Below are 19,580 nucleotides of genomic sequence, written 5' to 3'. Positions count from 1 at the left end.
AAGTGCTGCTTCCCACTCACTGGCTGGATCTAGTCCTTCCCAGGCAGGGGCTGGGGCAGAGTGTGAAACCCAAGGCACAGGGACACGGGTTTGCATCCAGGCAGCCTCATCAGCCAAGGAGCAGCATGGTAGTTTTGTGACATGGGAAGTAGAGGCTGCTATGCCTCCTAATTGGGTCTTATGGGAAGGGGTCAGGCAAACTTCTTGAAGGAAACATCATTTCTACTAAATCCAGACAAGGTGAGGAGGATTTGATTAGACACAAGAGGGAAGGGACAAACTTGCAAGTAGAGTCTGTGTGTTCAAAGGCAGGTGAGGCTGAGGGGCACCGAGAGAGGTGAGGGAGGCTCCCAGCACGCATAGTGTGAGGACAAATAGGCTTTCCTTCCAGAAGGTGCAGTGCAGCCATCCCAACTGGTCTCTCACCACCCTGGGGCACCTCCCTCTTCCCTGCCTCTGCAGCTGGGCAGGCTCACTGTGGAGTGATAGTGACTTGGCTTACAGACCTGTGCAGCCTGCTTCTCCCTTACCAGAAGGACATGTGAGTCAGGGGAGGCTGCCCCTGCCCAGCTTTGGGAAATTTAGCAAAGTCTGGTGATAACATAGACTCTCCACACAGCATTCAATGCAAATAGAAAATTAATCTCTGATGCAATTGGGCATTCATACATGCCAGTAAGTTCTGTGCTTTATTTTAAGGTACCTCACCTGCCTGGCATTAGTTGGGAGAATTATTAACCATCATTAAATGATTAACCATCATCATTAAAATGGTAGCCTGCTGCTACCCAGCCAAGAGCATGCTCTGTGGAGTTACTCACGTGAGAAAAAACTTGTCAGCAAAAGAATGCACCTGCAACCCAGAGCATCTACCCTTAACGACTTTCTATTTCAGCCTCCTTGTTACAACCACGATTTTCTTTCACTATCTAGGACAATACATATGCCACAGGAGTCTCTCAACTTCAGGTTAATCACTGCCCATCTCTCTAAGGTCAGACCTTCAGAATCCATCCTTTCATAAAGTTCATTTAATGTATGTTTAAATCTCTGTCATTTGCTCACTGTGTGACTTCAGGCAAGTTATTGAACCTCAATTTTCTTATCTGTAAAATGGGGCTAATCATAGCGCCTGCCTCATAAGGTTTTTAAAAGAATTCCTAGGTGATGGGCAGGTGACATCATCTTCCTTCCTAAAATGGTGTTTGGGAGTCTTCTGTTGGAAGACTAGTCTCATCTCTCCTCAATCCGTGGATACAAGTAGGTGATGACAGGTTTGGAGAGACCAGTGCTGCTGTCTGAGAACCAGAAACAGAGGAGAAAAATGTGACAACATCGCATGCTGAGGGTGGAAGGCACCCTGGTGCCCAACTCCAAAGGTGTGAACTATGAAGAAGGGTGCAGGGCCACTGAGGTCTGGGGCTGCTGGTCTCCTCCCCCTCCCCGCGGCAGTGCAGGTGAAACTTCCAACAAGGGTTGGTTCTATGAGCCAAAGGCTTCTTGAGGGTCCATCTTGCCCACTCATCCCTGCCCTATCGTGATTCACGAAATTAGCCCTCCTTGAGTAAATGACCTGAATCAAGGTCTTACCAGGCACTTCCTGCTCCATCTTCAGGTAGTCTCACTGAGGAGGTGGGGTGTCCAATCGAAAGAGCCGTTCTGACCCTCAGCTTCATTGAGCCTCAGTTTCCCCAACTGTTAAATGAGCTAGTGGGACAAGAATGTCTCTAGGCTTCCCTTTGGTGCAAACTGAATTTTACAGTAATTTAATGCCAGTGCTAGGCTTGTGGTTGCTTGAAGTTTTCATCCACTAGGAAATGGGTTGAGAAACCTGTGCTTGATTTTAATTATACATTTGCCATTTTCTAACATAATCACTGCCTTTTTATAAGTTCATGTTTTTCTGTAGTTTGCAGCTTTCATTGCCACTGTCTCTTGTCTCACCCAACAACGTGCATGATGGGCCTTGTGTTTGTCCTCACATTCTCGATGAGATAGTGGTGCTGGGAGAGTTTCAGGGGATTTCCCACAGTTGTGCAGCTGATGAGAAATTAGACATGAGCTTCTTTGACCCCAAATAATCATCCTTTGCACTCAGCCAAGAGCAAGACTCACCTTTCTTAAAGAGCATCCTGGAGAGGCCAGCAATTGGGTTTAAGCTTTCACAGTGTTTGGAGGAGGAGCATTATTTAGGTTGTAACAGGCTCGGCGCCTATCAATAGCAGTGGTAATGTACATGCTGGCACCCTACCCACAGTTTCCAAGGAAGCAGGTTGAAGAAACAAATAAAGAAAGCAGGAAGGTGGGGAGAAAAGCATTTAGGGTTAAGGGGAATTCCCAAGCCTGGTTGAGATGGCTGCACAAAGGCACCAGGAAAAATGACTTCAAAGACACCAAAGAACCATTCTCAAAGGGCCTCGACGTTCAAATGAGGAGACAGTGCGGAACTTCAGCAGTCCAGGCCTCTGTTTCTAATGGAGACCAAGCATGCTGCAGGCCAGAATGTCTCCCGGATGGGGCAGTCTGTGATCAGGGTGGTGTGAGGGTGAATGTGACATGGGGGTTACCCAGGGACCACTGAAAACCCTTTCTCAGGGCTATGCTGAGCCCTGGAACACTGGGAAAAGGAGGGAGTCAAAAAAGCCTGGATGAAGTCACTGCTTTCTCCCTCAGGGGTGATGAGAACACCACACCACACTACCCTCCCTTCTCCCACCATGCTGGTCCTGCCTGTGCAAATGCTCTTCCCACCTCTCATGTTCCCCCTGGGGCTCTGGCCACTTCTCCCCTCCCAGCTTGGTGGGTCCCTGTGCAGGGCATCTTGTTCCAGCCTCTCTGCCTTTGTTCACAGCTTGCTGCTCAGATATCGCCGGCTCTGAGAAGCCTTCCTAGACTCAACCACTCAGTCTTTCACTCATCCACTTATTTAGTAAGCACCTCTCTATGCCAGCCACTGACGGGGATATGGGCAAAGTAGAGAGCTTTTGTGAGACCGAAGACATCACTTGAGGCTGAGGAGCTGATTTTAGGAAAAAGACACAAAATTATGCATACCAAATTAGGTGCAAGGTCCTGGAGAAGTTGTGACTGCGTGGGCACGCATCATGAGTTTCCTGATAACACACCCAGATTGCAGGGAAGGCCTGCCCTTGGGTGGGGCACCTGCATTCCAGTGGGGACAGGGGATGGTAAATAGAACAGTAAACACACACGTTTCAGAGAATCATGCTGTAGAGAAAAACTAGCAGGGTAGAGACCAGAAGGTTTGGGTGCAGGTGCTCAGAGCTGCGTGCTGTGACAGAGGACTCTGAGCCATGGGGCACATGAACAGGTGGTGACGTGTCCAGGTGGAGGGAACAGCAAATGGGAAATCCAGAAGGCAGAGTGGAGGGAAGGAGCTCAGGTCACAGAGGAGCCATGTGGGGCAGGGGTGGGTGGGGTGATACACCAGCTTGGGGCCATTCTGAGGGCCTTTGAGTGAGACAGAAAGGCAGGGACAGTAACATACTTGACTCAGGTGTTTCAGCCTCATCTTGTCCTTCCCTGTCATTGCGCACCATTTTTAAGTCATTCACTGTATTAAAAGGTAAACTTAGGTATGCCAACATTTTAATAATTTCTTTGAGCATTCAGAGATTCATGAATCAAGCAGCATCAGACCTCAAGTGCTTCACTGCTTCAGCCAAGAAGTGCTTGGGGAACGTTTATTAAGGTATTTCAGAAGAGAGACAAAGAAAATAGTTGATTGGTTCAAGTGGAAAATTCCGACTTGGAGGTGAGTAGGTGGTTTCTGATTGATTAACCTGAAGTTTCATTTTGCTGTTTGCATCGAGTTGGGTTTCTGTTTGCTTCAGTAGGAACCCACCTCAGCCTAATGGCTTCCCAATTCATTATTTTAACAACTGCATTCCATTTTCCTAATGTGTATATATGACCAACATTCCTGCTTTACCATAAACTTCTTGAAGGCCTCAAACACAAATTCATCTAAATATCATTTTTTCTTGCCCCACCTCTTAGACTCTTAGCAAAAGGCCTGGCGTGTATCAGGTGCTCATTAAAGGCTCTGTAAAGTAGAAGATGTAGGAACATGGTTCTGCATCATTTTTCTCTGTCTCTCTCTTTGAAGACATGACTAGAAATCATTTAATTTAGAACACATTCCTCCAGGCAGTTTCATGCTATGCCAATTCCTGGAGATATGTAAAGGCATTATCTCCACTGTCATGAGAGGAGGGCGGCGCAAAAGCCCCGCAGAACTCCACGTGCTCAGGTGTCTACCAGGAAAGTACGGCTCATCAGCTGCACAGGGTTGAGCAACCTGTGATTTCATTTGGCCTCTTCCTAGATAAATGGTAAATTCTAATGACACAGCAGGAATTTCAGGGCTTAGGGAGGGGATGGAACAAGATCACAACATGGAGAGAGGCCTTTGGGTGGGCGATGGCTGTGGGACATACGAACGAGGGGTGGGTGAGGGAGGCAACTGGATTTCCCTAACATGATTAAATGAATGGAGAATAAGTGTTTAAATGTTCTAATTTCAAAGTTCAAGAAGATAGCTCTATGATTCGTGGAAGTTTTCTTTTTTAAATAAAAAGATGTGGCTGAGAACGTGAAAGACAGGGAAAAGGAGAGCAGCTGCACCGCCCTGGGTTCTGGCCCTGGAGACTCCCAGCCTTTTGTGGCCTGGAGGCTTCCACTGCCAGCTCAGCTAAGCAGGACCGGAGCCACACTCCGCTGGGCATTTCAGAGGGGCAGTGGGGGCTGCACGAAGGAAATTGAGCTCCTGTCTATGGAGCATGGCTGTTAAGAAAGAGCCAGAAGGAGGGCTGTGGCCTGGGCGTATGTGTGTGTGTGTGGATGTGTGTGTGTGTGGATGTGTGTGTGTGCTATGTATATATGTGTGCCTGTGTATGTGTGGAGATTATAGGAAGAAGAAACTAGGGCCTACTTTTCTGTGATTGGTAAAGGACAGTAGGAAGGTCAGCAGAAGATGAATTCATTTGGGAGAAAGAAGAATAAACCAAACTTGTAAAACAAATGCATATGCTCTTGTTGCCTGTCCTAAGATGAATTCCATCTCTATCAACATCCTAGAAGATGTATTTAAATTTATATCTGAACCAGAAAGCAAGGAATGACATCATCTGAGGAGCAGAGACTAGAAGGATTTCTTGGAGGAGAGTAAACAAATGGAATCTAATTAATGAAGAAACCTGATGATGCCAGTTAAATGATGCCCACTCACACTGGTGAGGGTGGATCATGTATTTTACTCATTCTATGGATTCAAACGTTTCTTCATTAATTAGATTCTTCACTAATCAATTAGAGTTTCATCAATTTCAGCTAATGGTTCACTGAGAGAGCCACTAAAGAAGTAAAAGTCATATCTTAGAAAAAATAGAGCAATTGGTTAAACACACACACTGGAAATGATGAGATTTTGAGGTTCTCCCCTTCTCACTCATTAATGGAATGGGCAGCTGCAGAAAGTTCTGGAAATGTGCTGGTGTTCAGAAGCAAGGCAGAGACTCTGAATGCCCAGCATCCAGAGGAAATGAGGCCAGGCCACCTGCAGCCCGTCCTGAGTGCTGGGTCCCACAGGGGCTGAGAAACTCATACCCATCAAGAACTGTGAGATCCAGATATTTGGTTACAGAAGTGACACACACGCAAGTCACCACATGTATATCAGAAACCAACACAAATAAGTAGGAATATATTTGAAATTTAAATTAAGATTAGTATCTTCAAAGAGATTTGAGAAGATGGGCAGGTATTAAAAAGGTATTTTTAAAAAATCAATAGATAGGCTGAAAAACAGCTTTTAAAAAAAGAACAAAGCAATGCAAAAAAACAAATTAGTAAATTGAAAGAAGGGAAAGAGTTTTTCCAAGAATCAAGACAAAAGGGCAAAGAAGTAGAAACTACAGCAACAACAGCAAAACAAACAAACAGCAACAAAACACAAAAATGAAATTAGCTGCAGAAGTCCCAATTGCCAAAAACATCCCAGAGGGCAAGAATATGACAGCCTAATTTATCTTGTCCAAAGGAAACCTGCACTCATAACAATATCTATTTCTCTTCAGTCAGTGATTGTCCCTCCCATATTAAGAATCCTTTAGGCCTAAAATTAAGATGAGGGGCTAAAAGCCTTCAGAAAGAGGGCCAACTATAAAAGTTTCTACGTGATCTCACCCCTGCAGATTGAGGTCTCCAGGACTGAATCACTGTCAATGCATGGGCATGCAGCTTCTGTTCTTTCCAACTGTGTCTTTCCTTGCTTAAGAGTGCCCACATGACCCGCAGTTTATCTGATTGAATTAAGGCCTATGAAACCCAATATAGTGTAACTGGCTATTCTCTGCTTCATGCTGAACTTACCAGCTTTGTGGTAAATAAAAGACCACTGGAATCTCTGAAAGAACAAACTAGAAATATCCATTTTTTATAAAATATTCTGAGACAAAAGGAATTCTGGGATAAGATGGACATGATAATTATGAAATCAGCTTTAACAATTTTCACGAAATTTTTTCTCTCTCAGCCAGGCTTGGACTGGAGTAATTCTTGACACCTTGGAATATTAGGTGAGGTGTATTTAGGGCTGTTCACATCCCCTGTGTTACTTTTAAAGTTGCCTTCAGTCTCCAACATAGTCATGGCTTCTTAAAGGAGGAAGTGAAGAGGTGACGGATGGGCGCTCTGTCAACAATATTCCAAAGCTGCTGTATTAGTCAGGCCTCTCTCAGAAACAGAACCATCTGTCTCCTAATATCTCCTGTTGGTCTGTTTCCTGGAGGTCCCTGACTAACTTGACTAACGCAGCAAGTTTGGAAGATAGATAGATAGATAGATAGATAGATAGATAGATAGATAGATAGTTAAAATTAGTTCACAAGGCTGTGGAGGCTGACAGGGCCAAGATCTACAATTAGTAGGCTTGAAACCAAGGAAGAGTCAATGTTTCAGTTCAAGCCTGAATACAGGAAAAGATACCCATCTCAACAGTCAGGCAGGAGTTGTCCCTCCTACTCAGCCTTTTTGTTCCATTTGGACCCTCAATGTGTTGGATGATGGCCACTCAAATCGGTGACAGTGGATCATGTACTTTACTCATTCTATGGATTCAAATACTTATCTTAGCCAGAAACACACTCACAGACATATGCGGAATAATATTTGACCAAATATCTGGGCACCTGGAGCCCAGTCAAGCTGACATAAAATTAACCATCATATGTACTGTCTTCATCCATTTCGTGCTGCTATAGCAGAATACATAAAACTGGGTAATTTATAAAGAATATAAAATTATTCTTTCACAATTCTGGAGGCTGGGAAGTTCAATATGAAGGTATTGCAGATTATGACCCAGTTTCTCTGCTTCCAAGGTGGCACCTTGATCCCTGACTCCTTTGGAGAGGAGGATCATTGTGTTTTCACATAGTAGAAGAGTGGGAGAGAGAGAACTCACTCCTGAAAGCCCTTGTTATGGCAATGCTATGGTTTGAATCTTTGTCCCCTCAAAAATGCATGTAGAAACTGAATCCCCAATGTGGCAGTATTGAGAGGTGGAGCCTTTAAGAGGTGATTGATCATGAGGGATCTGCCTTCATGAAAAGAGTAATCCATTCATGGATTAATGGGTTCAGGAATTAATGGGTTAATTGGTTGTCATGGGAATGGAACTGGTGGCTTTATAAGAAGAGGGAAAGTGACCAGAGCTAGCATAATCAGCCCCCTTGTCATGTGGTGCCCTGTGCCACCTTGGGACTCTGCAGAGTCCCTACCAGCAAGAAGGTCCTCACAAGATGCAGTCCCTGGACCTTGGACTTATCATCTCCAAAACTGTAAGAAATAAGCTCCTTTTCTTTATAAATTACCCAGTTTTAGGTATTCTGTTCTAAGCAACAGAAAACATATTGAGACAGGCAACGTTAATTCATTCATGAGAGCGGAGTTCTCATAACCCAAACACCTCTCAAAACTGTTGCTTTGGAAATTAAGTTTTCAACATGTGGATTTTGAGGGACACATTAAAACCATAGCACTTATCAACTGGAATAATTAGATATTTCAACACAGAATCTAGATGTCTCACAACTATACAGTATATCCACAGACATCTGCAAGTGAGATGATTCCTTATCTGTTGACAACCTCAATTTCACTCAGGCCATGGTGAACAAGTACATGGTGACACACAGGCATCCTGTGAGCTGATCAAGAGAGAAACAAAGATTATGATAAGGCTCTTGTCCTTAGGGATTATACCATCACCTGGGGAGGAGAAAGGGGCATAATGAACTCTAAAGAAAGACAGATGTTTCCAAACACCAAAGAGAAATGCTCCGGGTTAGTGCTTCTCCAACATAAACACTAAAATAGACCAAGAGACTGGGGAGAGTTCACACATTGTCATGAGGGTGAGAGGAACTGCCTGGAGAAGTCCTCTAAGAGGCAGAATGTGCTAGCAGCCTCATGTCTTATTTCAATATTGCACAAGGGCAAGAGAACGCAGCTAAGAGCAAGGAATCAGAATAAGATAGGCGGGTGCTGGTGCCTCTCTAACACATGATACTGTGAAACCTTGGGAAATGAGTTAAAAACTGTACCTCCAATTTCCTCATCTGGGAAATGAGGATAACAATACACTCCATAGGGGCTGGTGAGGATTACACAACTCTGTACTTGTGATATGTTTAGGACAATGCCTGGCACACAGCAAACAGAGTGTCCATTAAATAACCCAAAATATAAATTTTGCATTTTATTTTACAATATAAAAAGTAATTTCTTACTAGTGAAATCATTCCTCCTATTCATATCCTATTCCTAACTTTATTACTCCAAATCTTTGAGGAATCTCCTGGTACTCAACCCTGGCTCACCTAGGCACGCTCGAAGAGTGTGTGTAGCTACAGATTGGGTATGGGCTCTGCTTTCCACAGCCAAAATCTGGACAAGTTTATGAGATCAATAACAATTCTTAAAAAAAAAAAGGCAAAAACAGGCCTGGCGCGATAGCTCACGCTTGTAATCCCAGCACTTTGGGAGGCCAAGGCAGGTGGATCACCTGAGGTCGGGGGTGTGAAACCAGCTTGACCATCATGGAGAAACCCCGTCTCTACTAAAAATACAAAATTAGCCAGGCATGGTGGCGCATGCCTGCAATCCCAGCTATTCGGGAGACTGAGGCAGGAGAATCACTTAAACCCGGGAGGCGGAGGTTGTGGTAAGCTGAGATCACGCCATTGCATTCCAGCCTGGGCAACAAGAGCGAAACTCCATCTCAAAAAAACAAAAACAAAACAAACAAACAGTAAAGCAAAACCAAACAGGTTCCTTAGAGTAGGAAATTTTGGAGGTTTTAATATGCAAATATACACTGTAGCCCTCCAAAAGATGTTAAATTCTGCAATGTTGCCCTGATTTCTTTGACAGTGGGTCCAAATTGCACTCCAAAACATGTAACATGTATCCTCTATGACACCCTCATGCCTCAAAACACAGTGTATTGAAAGCTGCTCTGGGTGACAGAGGTGATGAAAATTTTAATTAGCTGGATTATGTTGGATATTTCACAATGCATATATGTATATATATATCAAATTGTATACTTTAGATGTATACAAATTTTATTTAAATATATGCAATTCTTATTTTCCAGGCTGTATTCCAATTCTTATTTTCTTATATACCTCAATAAAGCTGGAAAAAGCTAAAATTAAAAAAAAATTTAAAAAGTCTAACAGGTAATTTAGGCCTTATATCCTTCTACAATTTATGTGCAGATGCCCTAGGAGCAGAAGTCATATCCGATTATTTTTATATCATGTACAGCAAATGGTATACTAGCCAATGCATTGTGTGCCTATTTAATTCAGCCAAGTAAAGACAAAAAGAAAGGAAAGAGAAGGAGAGAGATCAGATCCCAGGAAACCAAATATGAGCTACTCAGAGACTGTTATGTTTATGGAACACTGAGGCAACACTTGATAATATTTGGGGGATTTCCAGGCTGTATTTCCTGTTATTGTTTTGAGTTTTGTAGAAGAGGAGACATAACTCAGAAATAACTAGATAATTTAGCATGTATTTAGTAATTTAGTAATTCATCATGATTAATTTTAACAGAAAAAGATACACTAGTCACTTTCAAATGGTTTTTAAATTAAGCTAATATACATTTTCTTCTTTAAATACTTCTATCATATAAGTAATATCTTTCATTTTTAAATAAAGTAGGAAAATAGAACATTATATATAGACATTTATAAGAAAAAAATTTCTTGATCAGTCTTTAGCTACAGAAATATTTCATAAAGCAAAAAGCAAATATGATTTCTTTTCCCATAGTGTACATTTCCTCCTGCAAATATTAGTTTCTGCTGCTATCAGAAACTATTGTCGATGTTTGTTGTTTTATTTTGTGGTGGTGATAGTGGTTGTTTATTTTACTGAATGAAGTAGCAAGCCCTTCCCATGTGTGAGGTTGTTTTCTATTTCCATTGCTAGTCCTCACCACCCTTGTGCAAGATTTAAGTTGTTATTCTTCACTTTCTGATGAATAAGGCCAAGTTCAGAGAGGTTAAGTATTGGAACTCTACAGCAGCTCAGATGGCTCTCTGTCTAGAGGCAAAGCTGTGGCCCCTCCGCTCTCCCATGCTGTTATTGTTTGTGAGTTACACCAGTCAAAACAACAGATTAAACACAAAAGATATCTGAATTTCAGGATCTTTGGGGGTAACTGATGAGGCCCTGTCTGGTCACCTGATGGTGAGACAAGCACAAAACCGGAGAGATCAGTTGTTCTGCTTGCGTCAACGTGAAGGCAGAACATTCTCATCAGACAGGCCAGTGAGAGTCATTTACCCATTAATGTGTTCTCCAGAGCTGCGGAGAATGTGAGCAGCACATTCTACTCCACAAAGCGGGAGCCAGCATTCAGTGCCAAGGTTTTGGCAAGCAAGGGTGCATTGACATGGAATGATGGGGAATTTAAACAAAGTATCATTGAAATTTCAAAGCAGGCACCTGATTCTTGATTGGAAAAGTACCTGGAAGACTCACCACATGGCCTTGATTTTGGAGGAGGATGGTTAACGGTCAGGACAGGGCAGGAATCAGGGATGGAATAAAGGAGAGGAAATATTTTTTTCAGACAGATGACTGCACCCCTGCAAGAAGAGTCAGGGCAGGAGGAAGGGCAGAGGGAAGAGATTCTAATGAGGTAAAGATGTAGGAAAATTTTTATTATGAATAAAAGTTTGAAAGACGTTTTTGTCATTAGTCATTAATTTATTCATTTATTCACTCACAAATCCAGGGAAACTATGGGGACAGGGCAAAGGTCATTGCCCTTTTCCTACTGAGAAATGATGGTTTAGTGGCAGTGAGAGACTGGAGCGGGGTAAGCAACAGCATGGAGCGGATGCCACTGACTGAGGAGGTGGGAGCAGGGACTGGAGGGAAGGCCCTGGGACTCTGGCTGTGGGGGCCACTGCTATAGCTCCCTCAACTTTGAATCGAGGGTCCTTCCATGCTAGTTTGTCCAATTAAACATTTATAAATTGATAGCTTAGACCCGGCTCTGTGGCACGCGCCTGTAATCTCAGCACTTTGGAGGGCCGAGGCAGGCAGATGGCTTGAGGTCAGAGGTTTGAGACTAGCCTGGGTAACATAGGGAACCCCTGTCTCTACTGAAAATACAAAAATTAGCCCAGCGTGGTGGTGCATGCCTATAGTCCCAGCTACTCTACTCAGGAGGCCGAGGTGGGAGAATCGCTTGAGCCGGAGGCAGAGGTTGCAGTGAGCCAAGATCTCACCACTGCACTCCAGCCTGGGTAACAGAGAGAGACCATGTTTCAAAAAAAAAAAATTATAGCTTAGTTTAGATGCTGTCTTGTATATATTTAGTCCTGTTGCTGTGACCTAGAAAATACGACAACCCCATTCCATGTGAAGCTCAGTCTAAACAGGGAGGGACTTTTAAAACAGCACTTACACCACAGGGGTCTCCTTGCAGTGATGGAGGTATGGGTGAGCCCTGAAGGGGAAGGAGGGGTTTGGCAGAGGCATTGGGTCTATTTGCATGTTGTTTGGGTCTATTAAATGTGATGCAGAAGTAAATGTGACTCCACCTGAGTTGTTCTCATTGAATGTGACACAGGCTCATCCTGAGTGTATTTATTTCGAGTACCACCAACTGACAGGGAGGAAATGTTAGTCCTCAGAATGCCTCATCTGTAGGGGAAAACACTTGATTATCTACTTGGCTTGGAGCTTATGTCTCCAAAGACATTCCTAACCTTTCCATGCTTCCAAGTGCTTGGCTAATCTCTCTCCTTTTTCTAAGATACTTTCCCCACAGTTTCCTTCAGACACTCTTCTTTCTGGGTTTGAGTGTGAAGACTCATATGTGACTCTATACAGTGCCAATGTCTCTCTGCTTCTTGATCTTTAAGCATTTTAGGGATACCCACCTCTAGGAGAGCTCTTACCACCAGTGTGTGCTTTAACCCGAGGATTGAGTTCTGGGACTGTGGCACGTGCATTTTTGTAGCTCTAACATAAGGCCAGGCATAGAGTAGGTTGAAATAAAATAAAATAAGGAATTAATGCAGGTATATGTGTAAATTGAAAGAAAACTAGAGAGCCAGCTGGGAATGCTCAGGACAAAGTGGGAAGCAAGTTCAAGGTCAGAGAGGCAGGCAGGGTAGCAGGGCCAGTGTCAGGGTGGATGAGAACATGGTCAACATCCAGGTCAAGGTTTAAAGAGCTGGAATTCAAGACCAAGAGTGCAGGGAAGGGAGGTGGCAACTCCAAGCGAAATTGCTTCAGTGAAAACTGATCTTATCTTCTAAAAATAAGGTATAATTTTGAATCATAGAATGTAAAGACGCTAACTAGAACTGGAAGAAATTGATCTATTCATGAGTAGCTGCATTGCCTCAAGGCTTAGTATTCCTAGACCTCAGCTTCTAATTTGTGAACTTGGAAGAATGTTGAGACAACATAATGTCAGGAGATGTGGGGGCTGGAATTCAGGATAACAGCTCCACTGCAGCCCAGCCATTACTTTTGTTGTGATGCAACAGCGTTTGGGACTAAAGTGAATGGAACAGGAGCCCACATGCTCTTATATCCCACAGTTGGCAGACAGAGGAGAAACACACTAGAGAGTGAAGCAAACTCTTCCCACCTTGGTTTCGTGACTGTCATGAGTGACTCCAACTGAAGACAGGGGTTGGATCTGGAAATGCATTTGCCTGCGCTTCTCAAGGCTGCTGAGTGAGTGGGTCTCAGACACAAGAGAGGTCATTGGGATGGTAAAGCAGGTGCAACCTGCATTCCATGGGCCACAGGGGCTCAGAATTCTCTAGAGCCACCCATGTTGATTGACATCCTGGCCTGGCATTCTTTCCCTTCTCATTGTAAACAGTCCCCACCCCAAAACTTTGCTTGTGCCCCTCCATAATCCCTTTCTCTTGGCCCTTCACAGGCAACCACTGGTTTGCTTTCTGTCACTTTGGATTAATTTTCCTTTATTTTTTGGTCTGGTGTCTTTCACTCAGCATAATTACTTTGAGATTCTCCCATGTTGTTGTATATATACCAACAGTTCATTCCTTTTCATTGCTGAGTAGTATTCCATCAAATGGATATGCCATAATTTGTTTATTCATTGACCTATTGATGGCCATTTGGGTTGTTTCCAGTTTTGGGCTATTACAAATAAAGCTGCTATGAACATTTGTGTCTAAAACAAAATAAAATTAGAACCATACATTATTGCAGTATTGGCCATTATAAGATATCTGAATATTTGCTTTTTAAGCCTATTTGTTTAATTTGTAGGAGTACTTTGGTGTAGCACTGCTAACATAGTAGCTTAAAACATGCTGGAAAAGTAGTCTTTAAGTTATTGCTCAATTTGTCATAAAAGTCAGTTTGTACTGGTAAGCCATGAAAGTAACTCAGGAAAGGTGTTCATTTAGAGGCAAATGTTATGGTTATTGTGAGGCCACAGTGTTGCTTTGCAAAGAACCCGGGACTCAAAATCAAGTGAACTACTTATTTCCTTGATTCTGTGACTCATGAGATATGAACAGAATGAAGTGTTTTCCTTCTCTATATTTAATCAATGATTTCTATAGGAGGCATCTCATTGCATGGGGCCCAGAGTGTCACATCTAAACTCTTCACCACAAGTATTCCTTCCAAAGTCTTAAATCTCTATCAACTCTGCCAGGTAGAGTCCCCTCTCTCTTCCCCTGCCCCCAACTTACACTTAGCTTTGTCCCCTCTACTTTTCAGAGAAGTTCTCTTGGGCATGTACATCCTAGTTCTCAACAAGTCTCCCAGATTCTGGAGGCTGGCTCATAACCAATCACAGGCTCAAAACAGAAGGTCTTTCTCTGCAAACATCATTGCACCGGCACTGTGAGGAGCTCCATTGAGTTACCATATGTATATATGGAGAGACAAATCCATTATTATAATTGCAGACTTCAATACCCATCTTTCAATAATGGATAGATTAAGAAAACAGAAAATCAAATGACCTGAATAGTACTATCAATCAGTGTGATCTACTAACATATATCTATTACATTAATTGAATCAATGTTTAAAAACCTTCCAAAAAAAGAAAAAAACACCAGCACAGATGTTTTCAATGGTGAATCCTATCAAGCATTTAAGGAAGAAACAATACCAGTTCTCCACAATATCTTCCACAAAATAGAAGCAGAGAGAATGCTTCATAACTTATTCTATGATACCAGAATTTCACCAATACCAAAATCAAATTAAGACATTACAAGTAAAGAAAATTAAGAACAATTATCTGTTATGAGAATAGGTGGAAAACTTCAAACAAAATGTTAGCTTTAAATCAATCCAATAATGTATCAAAAGAATTATACACCACAACCAAGTGGGATTTATCCCATATATTCAAGGCTGGCTCAACATTTTGAAATCAATTAATTAATCCATCACATCAATAAGCTAAATTTTTTAAAAAATCATATTACTATATCAATTGATGCAGAAAACCACTTGATAAAATCCAAAACCCATTCATGATTTAAAAAAAAAATCCTCTTACCAAAATATTCATTAATTGTAACAAATAAACATGCCCTATATATATGATTTCATATATATAAATATATGAATATATATATGAATTCTTATATAAATATATGAATATATATGAATTCATATATAAATATATGAATATATATGAAATCATATATAAAAATATTTGTATATGAATTCATATATATTCATATATTTATATCTATATGAATTTATATATATGAATTCATATATATATGAATATATATAAATATATGAATATATATATGGTGTGGTTTTATATATGATGCTGATAATGGGGCAAATGGGTGTGAAATATATAAGAACTCTCTTTGCAAACTTTCTGTAATATAAACTAATTCTGAAATTAAAAGTTTCCTTTTTTAATTATTTTTCAATTTGGCCCATTTTCTAGTGGAGAAAGGAAGCAACTTTATACACAACTATGAAGCAGAGAAGAAGGTGGAATGTGAATTGTTCTGACGGTGTTAAATGGTAGGACGTTATTAATCTGGGGAAAATAAAGGTGACAAGTTGTAACTTTGCATGACATTTGAAAGCACTGCTAAAGGAGGATGTAGCAGGCTGCCTGGAAAGTCACCAGCACTTTGAAAACAGTGGCTGCCCAAGTTCTTGACTGTGTTGTCATACAGGTACCTCACTCAAAGGGTGGGTGCCAAACTGGGAGACTGTATTTGTGCTTCTGTTGTGTGTGTGTTGTTTTTTTCTTTCTTTCTTTCTAATTTAGTCTTCAGGTCTCTCTCACATGAGTGCGATAAACTCTAGCACTTCCCTGATTCAGGAATTTGGTGATAGATGTTTGCAGTGTGCCTCTCATAAGATACTTCTTTATCCTTGTGGATGGGCTGATACCTAAGTGTCACTTGTGACCAGCTATCACTTTCACAGAAACTGATTTTTACTGCCCTTGTGGATCATGTCTCACCTGTGTTCAGTTTATTCCTACTAAGATAGCCAATGTCTAGGAAAGCCCTGCCCAGGAGAGAAGTTATTCTCTGGTCTATGGATCAGATGAGAAAGAGGAGGCAACTCAACAAAATCCATGAAATCACAGAAGCAGTTTCTTACAGATCCCAGAGAGAAGAAGGCAGCATGCTTCACAGGGCCAGTGGGAAAGGAGGAGCCAACAGGGAAACAAACGTTCAAACAGTGGATGGGGAACAAGAGAGAGAACAAGGGACCTACGGGCCAAAGTGTTCATTGGAGTCCAAGGCATTATCCCAGCAGGCTTCCCAAGGGGAGTTCTAATTGATTAGAGCCAGCAGGCATCAGCTCCGTGCAGTCATGCTGCAACTGAGACATGATCACTGTGGCACATCTGTGAGATCCATGCTGGGGGTGGGAGTCAGTGAGGTAAGTCAAGTAGGTTGTATCCAGCTGTCTCATAGGAAAGTGGTCAGCAGGGGATGATTTATAGGGCAGATGTCCAGGTCAACCATGCTCAGGAACTGGGAGCAGGTAAAGAACTAGGCACCATGTCAAGGGTGACAAGGAAGTTAAACCTATATTCAAAGTGGATGTTGAAGCCACACAAAATTATAAGAATTCACTACAGCTTCCTATACCAGTCTGCACATTAAAATCACAGAAATACTGCATAGAAATACCAATTCCTAGGCCACCTATGGTGATGTTAATTTAGTAGGTCTGCAATGAGACCCAGGAATTTTTATATTTAGATGGGTGTACATTTTACCCTAAGCCTTTCGTTTAGATGATTGCAACCACAATTCTTTCAGGCAAATTATTCAACTACTTGGAATCCACATCCACATCCTTTTCTCCTGACTGAAACAGAGGAAAGTATTTTTCCCTAGCCCATCCTAGAAACGTATAACTCACTCACCGCTCCCTATTACAAAGAATACCCCTGCTCTATGGTTTGTATGGAATGTGACTCCAAGTACTGATCTCATTTGAATTGTTTCCTTTATACCTGCACGGCCACCTATGTGTCCCTGTCAATGTTGTTTTTGTGTTTTCCACATGTCAATGCATATGTTTCCAAGTACACGCCTGACAGCGAAGAGAAGTCTTTAACTTGATAAAAGTGAACCTGGATGTTAGCTAGTTTGAACTGATGAAGCAGTGAGAGGCGTCGCATGGTACAGCTTGCATTAAACTGGTTTGCACCTCAACTTCAGTGGGTATATAAACCCCCAGGGCCTTGTTAACTGCAGATGCTGATTCAGTAGGTATAGGATGGGGGTGGAGAGTCTGTTCTCAGGTGAGGTGGAGGCTCCTGGTCTTGAATGCAAGGCATCACTCCCTCTAGAAGAGGTGTGTACCCTTGGTCTCTGAGGCAAACCATTACTCTCCCCAGGTGACTGGGTGCCCTTGGTCTCTGATGTAGACCATTGCCCTCTCCAGGTGATTGTGGTACCCTTTCTGTCTGATATAAGGCATCACCCTCTCCGGAAAGTAAATCTCCAGTGGCTGGGAGGAAGCTACATTATTGATTGTCACTGAACACTCTATGAGACAGAGACTTGAGCGGAGAGTGTTGTGCCTTGTGGTGTGTGTAGAGTAAGGTTTGCCTTACAACTCAGCAATGGTGAAAGGGAGGAATGGTATCCCAGGACACCAGCGGCAACTCATATCTTCTCTTGAGAATTTGGTTGGGTGGGCAGACGTCCACAGTAAGGGGCCCTTCTTCAACAGCTTCCAGGTACCAAGAGGAGTCTCTCTCCCCTGTCCATGGTTTGAGAAACTCAGGAGGTGCTGTGTTCCCTGCAAGTTACTGAGCTGTTGTTATTGTTTACCTGGTCCCTTCAGGCATGCTGTTAAAAAAAAAATCAGTACTCTGATTTGCACAGATTTGCACAGTACTCTGATTTTTCACTTATCTTTGGAATGTTCATCAACACTAGTTTGTGCCCAGTACTGCAGTTTCTGCTCTATGTAGAGCAATGAATAAAACACAGCCTCTGTCCTCACATAGCTTTCACTGCCTTTCAGGTGATAAGCATGTCAATCAATAATCACAGAATTGATCCATATGGATGTGATGGTAGATGTGTTCACTACACAGATAGTTTTGATCACCTACTATGTGCCCAGCACTACTCTGGATACTTGTAATTCATCAATAAACCAATAGCAACAAAAACATAGATTTCTTGGCCAAGCATGATGGCTCACACCTGTAATCTCAGCACTTTAGAAGGCTAAGGAGGGTGGATCACTTCAGGACAGGAGTTTGAGACCAGCCTGGCCAACATGGCGAAACCCCGTCTCTACTAAAAATACAAAAATTAGCCAGGCATGGTGGCACATGCCTGTATTCCCAGCTACTCGGGAGGCTGAGGCATGAGAATTGCATGAACCCAGGAGATGGAGATTGTGGTAAGCTGAGGTTGTGCCACTACACTCCAGCCTGGGCAACAGAGTGAGACTGCATCTCAAAAAAAAAAAAAAAAAAAAAAAGATTTATTCTTAAAACTTATTTTCTGGGAGAGGGTAATACATAATAAGTAAAACAAATAAGTAAATGTCATAATATGCTGCATATTAATAGAGTCTATGAAAAACCAGAGCGAGCTAAGCGGACTTGGTGCAGAGGTACAGAGGAAGAAGAGGTTTGAATTCTTTCTGACAGACTGTCGGGAATGACTTTCTGGATGAGGTGATGTCTGAGGTGGGAATTCAAGAAGCTGGATATTTTCAAAGGTTCCCAGAAGACTAGGGGAGCTGAAGCACATCAGCTGAAGGAAAGAGCACGTTAACGGTGTCTAGCATCAGACTCCTTTGTGCTTCTGGATACAGCTGGCTTCCTTTTTAGCTCAGGAGTGACTGGGGAAACACAGGACCCTTGGTGGGAGGCAGGTGTCTTGTCTCTCTGTAGTTTCTGTATATGACACAAGTTAGTTAGGTTTGCCCTTGCTCCCAATAAAATATTCCTACTTATTAAAATTCTTTCTTCATTTAAGAGGAAAAGGCAAATGGCCACTCGTTGAATCTATATGAAATCCGAAATTGACCTATTCCACAATGAATATAGACAGATTAAAAGTTAAGTAACAACAATGCTTCAATTGGGGAGTAGTGTTGGCTGTGAATATCAGGCACTGGGCATGGGGCTTGGCCAGTAGGGCAGAGTGTCTTTCTCCCCTTCACCTTCTTCTGATAGGAGGAAGGCAGGGGCAGCCCTCGGTGAAGGTCAGCCCAGCACAGAGAAAAGCATGTCAGTTCCATGCTGAAGATGCCCAGGATAGGCAACACGGTGAGGCTGAAGACAACAGCCACAGCAGAGTGTCCCTCCAAGTTCAGCTCCATTGTGCCAAAACAATCACGCAAACAGAAAAACACATCTGACCACATCAGGGTGTGTGGCAACAAGTAGACTAAACATTGTGATGATTTTTAAATTTCCTCTTTTCCTCCAGATGTTTTCTTGATCAAACTGGAGTACATTCATTTGCTCAAAAGTACATGTTTGT

General features: G+C 42.4%; 1 annotated feature.

The window, feature by feature from the left end:
• Positions 1,334–2,533: an enhancer, noted in NCBI's record as "BRD4-independent group 4 enhancer chr7:46245952-46247151 (GRCh37/hg19 assembly coordinates)". NCBI's record gives its function as "activates an origin of replication core promoter dependent on BRD2, P300/CBP, MED14 and CDK7 cofactors, and independent of BRD4, by STARR-seq in HCT116 cells {active_cell/tissue: HCT116}" and the evidence as "EXISTENCE:reporter gene assay evidence [ECO:0000049][PMID:35650434]".

Source organism: Homo sapiens, chromosome 7, assembly GCF_000001405.40.
Source record: "Homo sapiens chromosome 7, GRCh38.p14 Primary Assembly".
NCBI classification, from domain to species: domain Eukaryota; kingdom Metazoa; phylum Chordata; class Mammalia; order Primates; family Hominidae; genus Homo; species Homo sapiens.
This window is presented reverse-complemented; position numbering and strand designations above follow the sequence as displayed.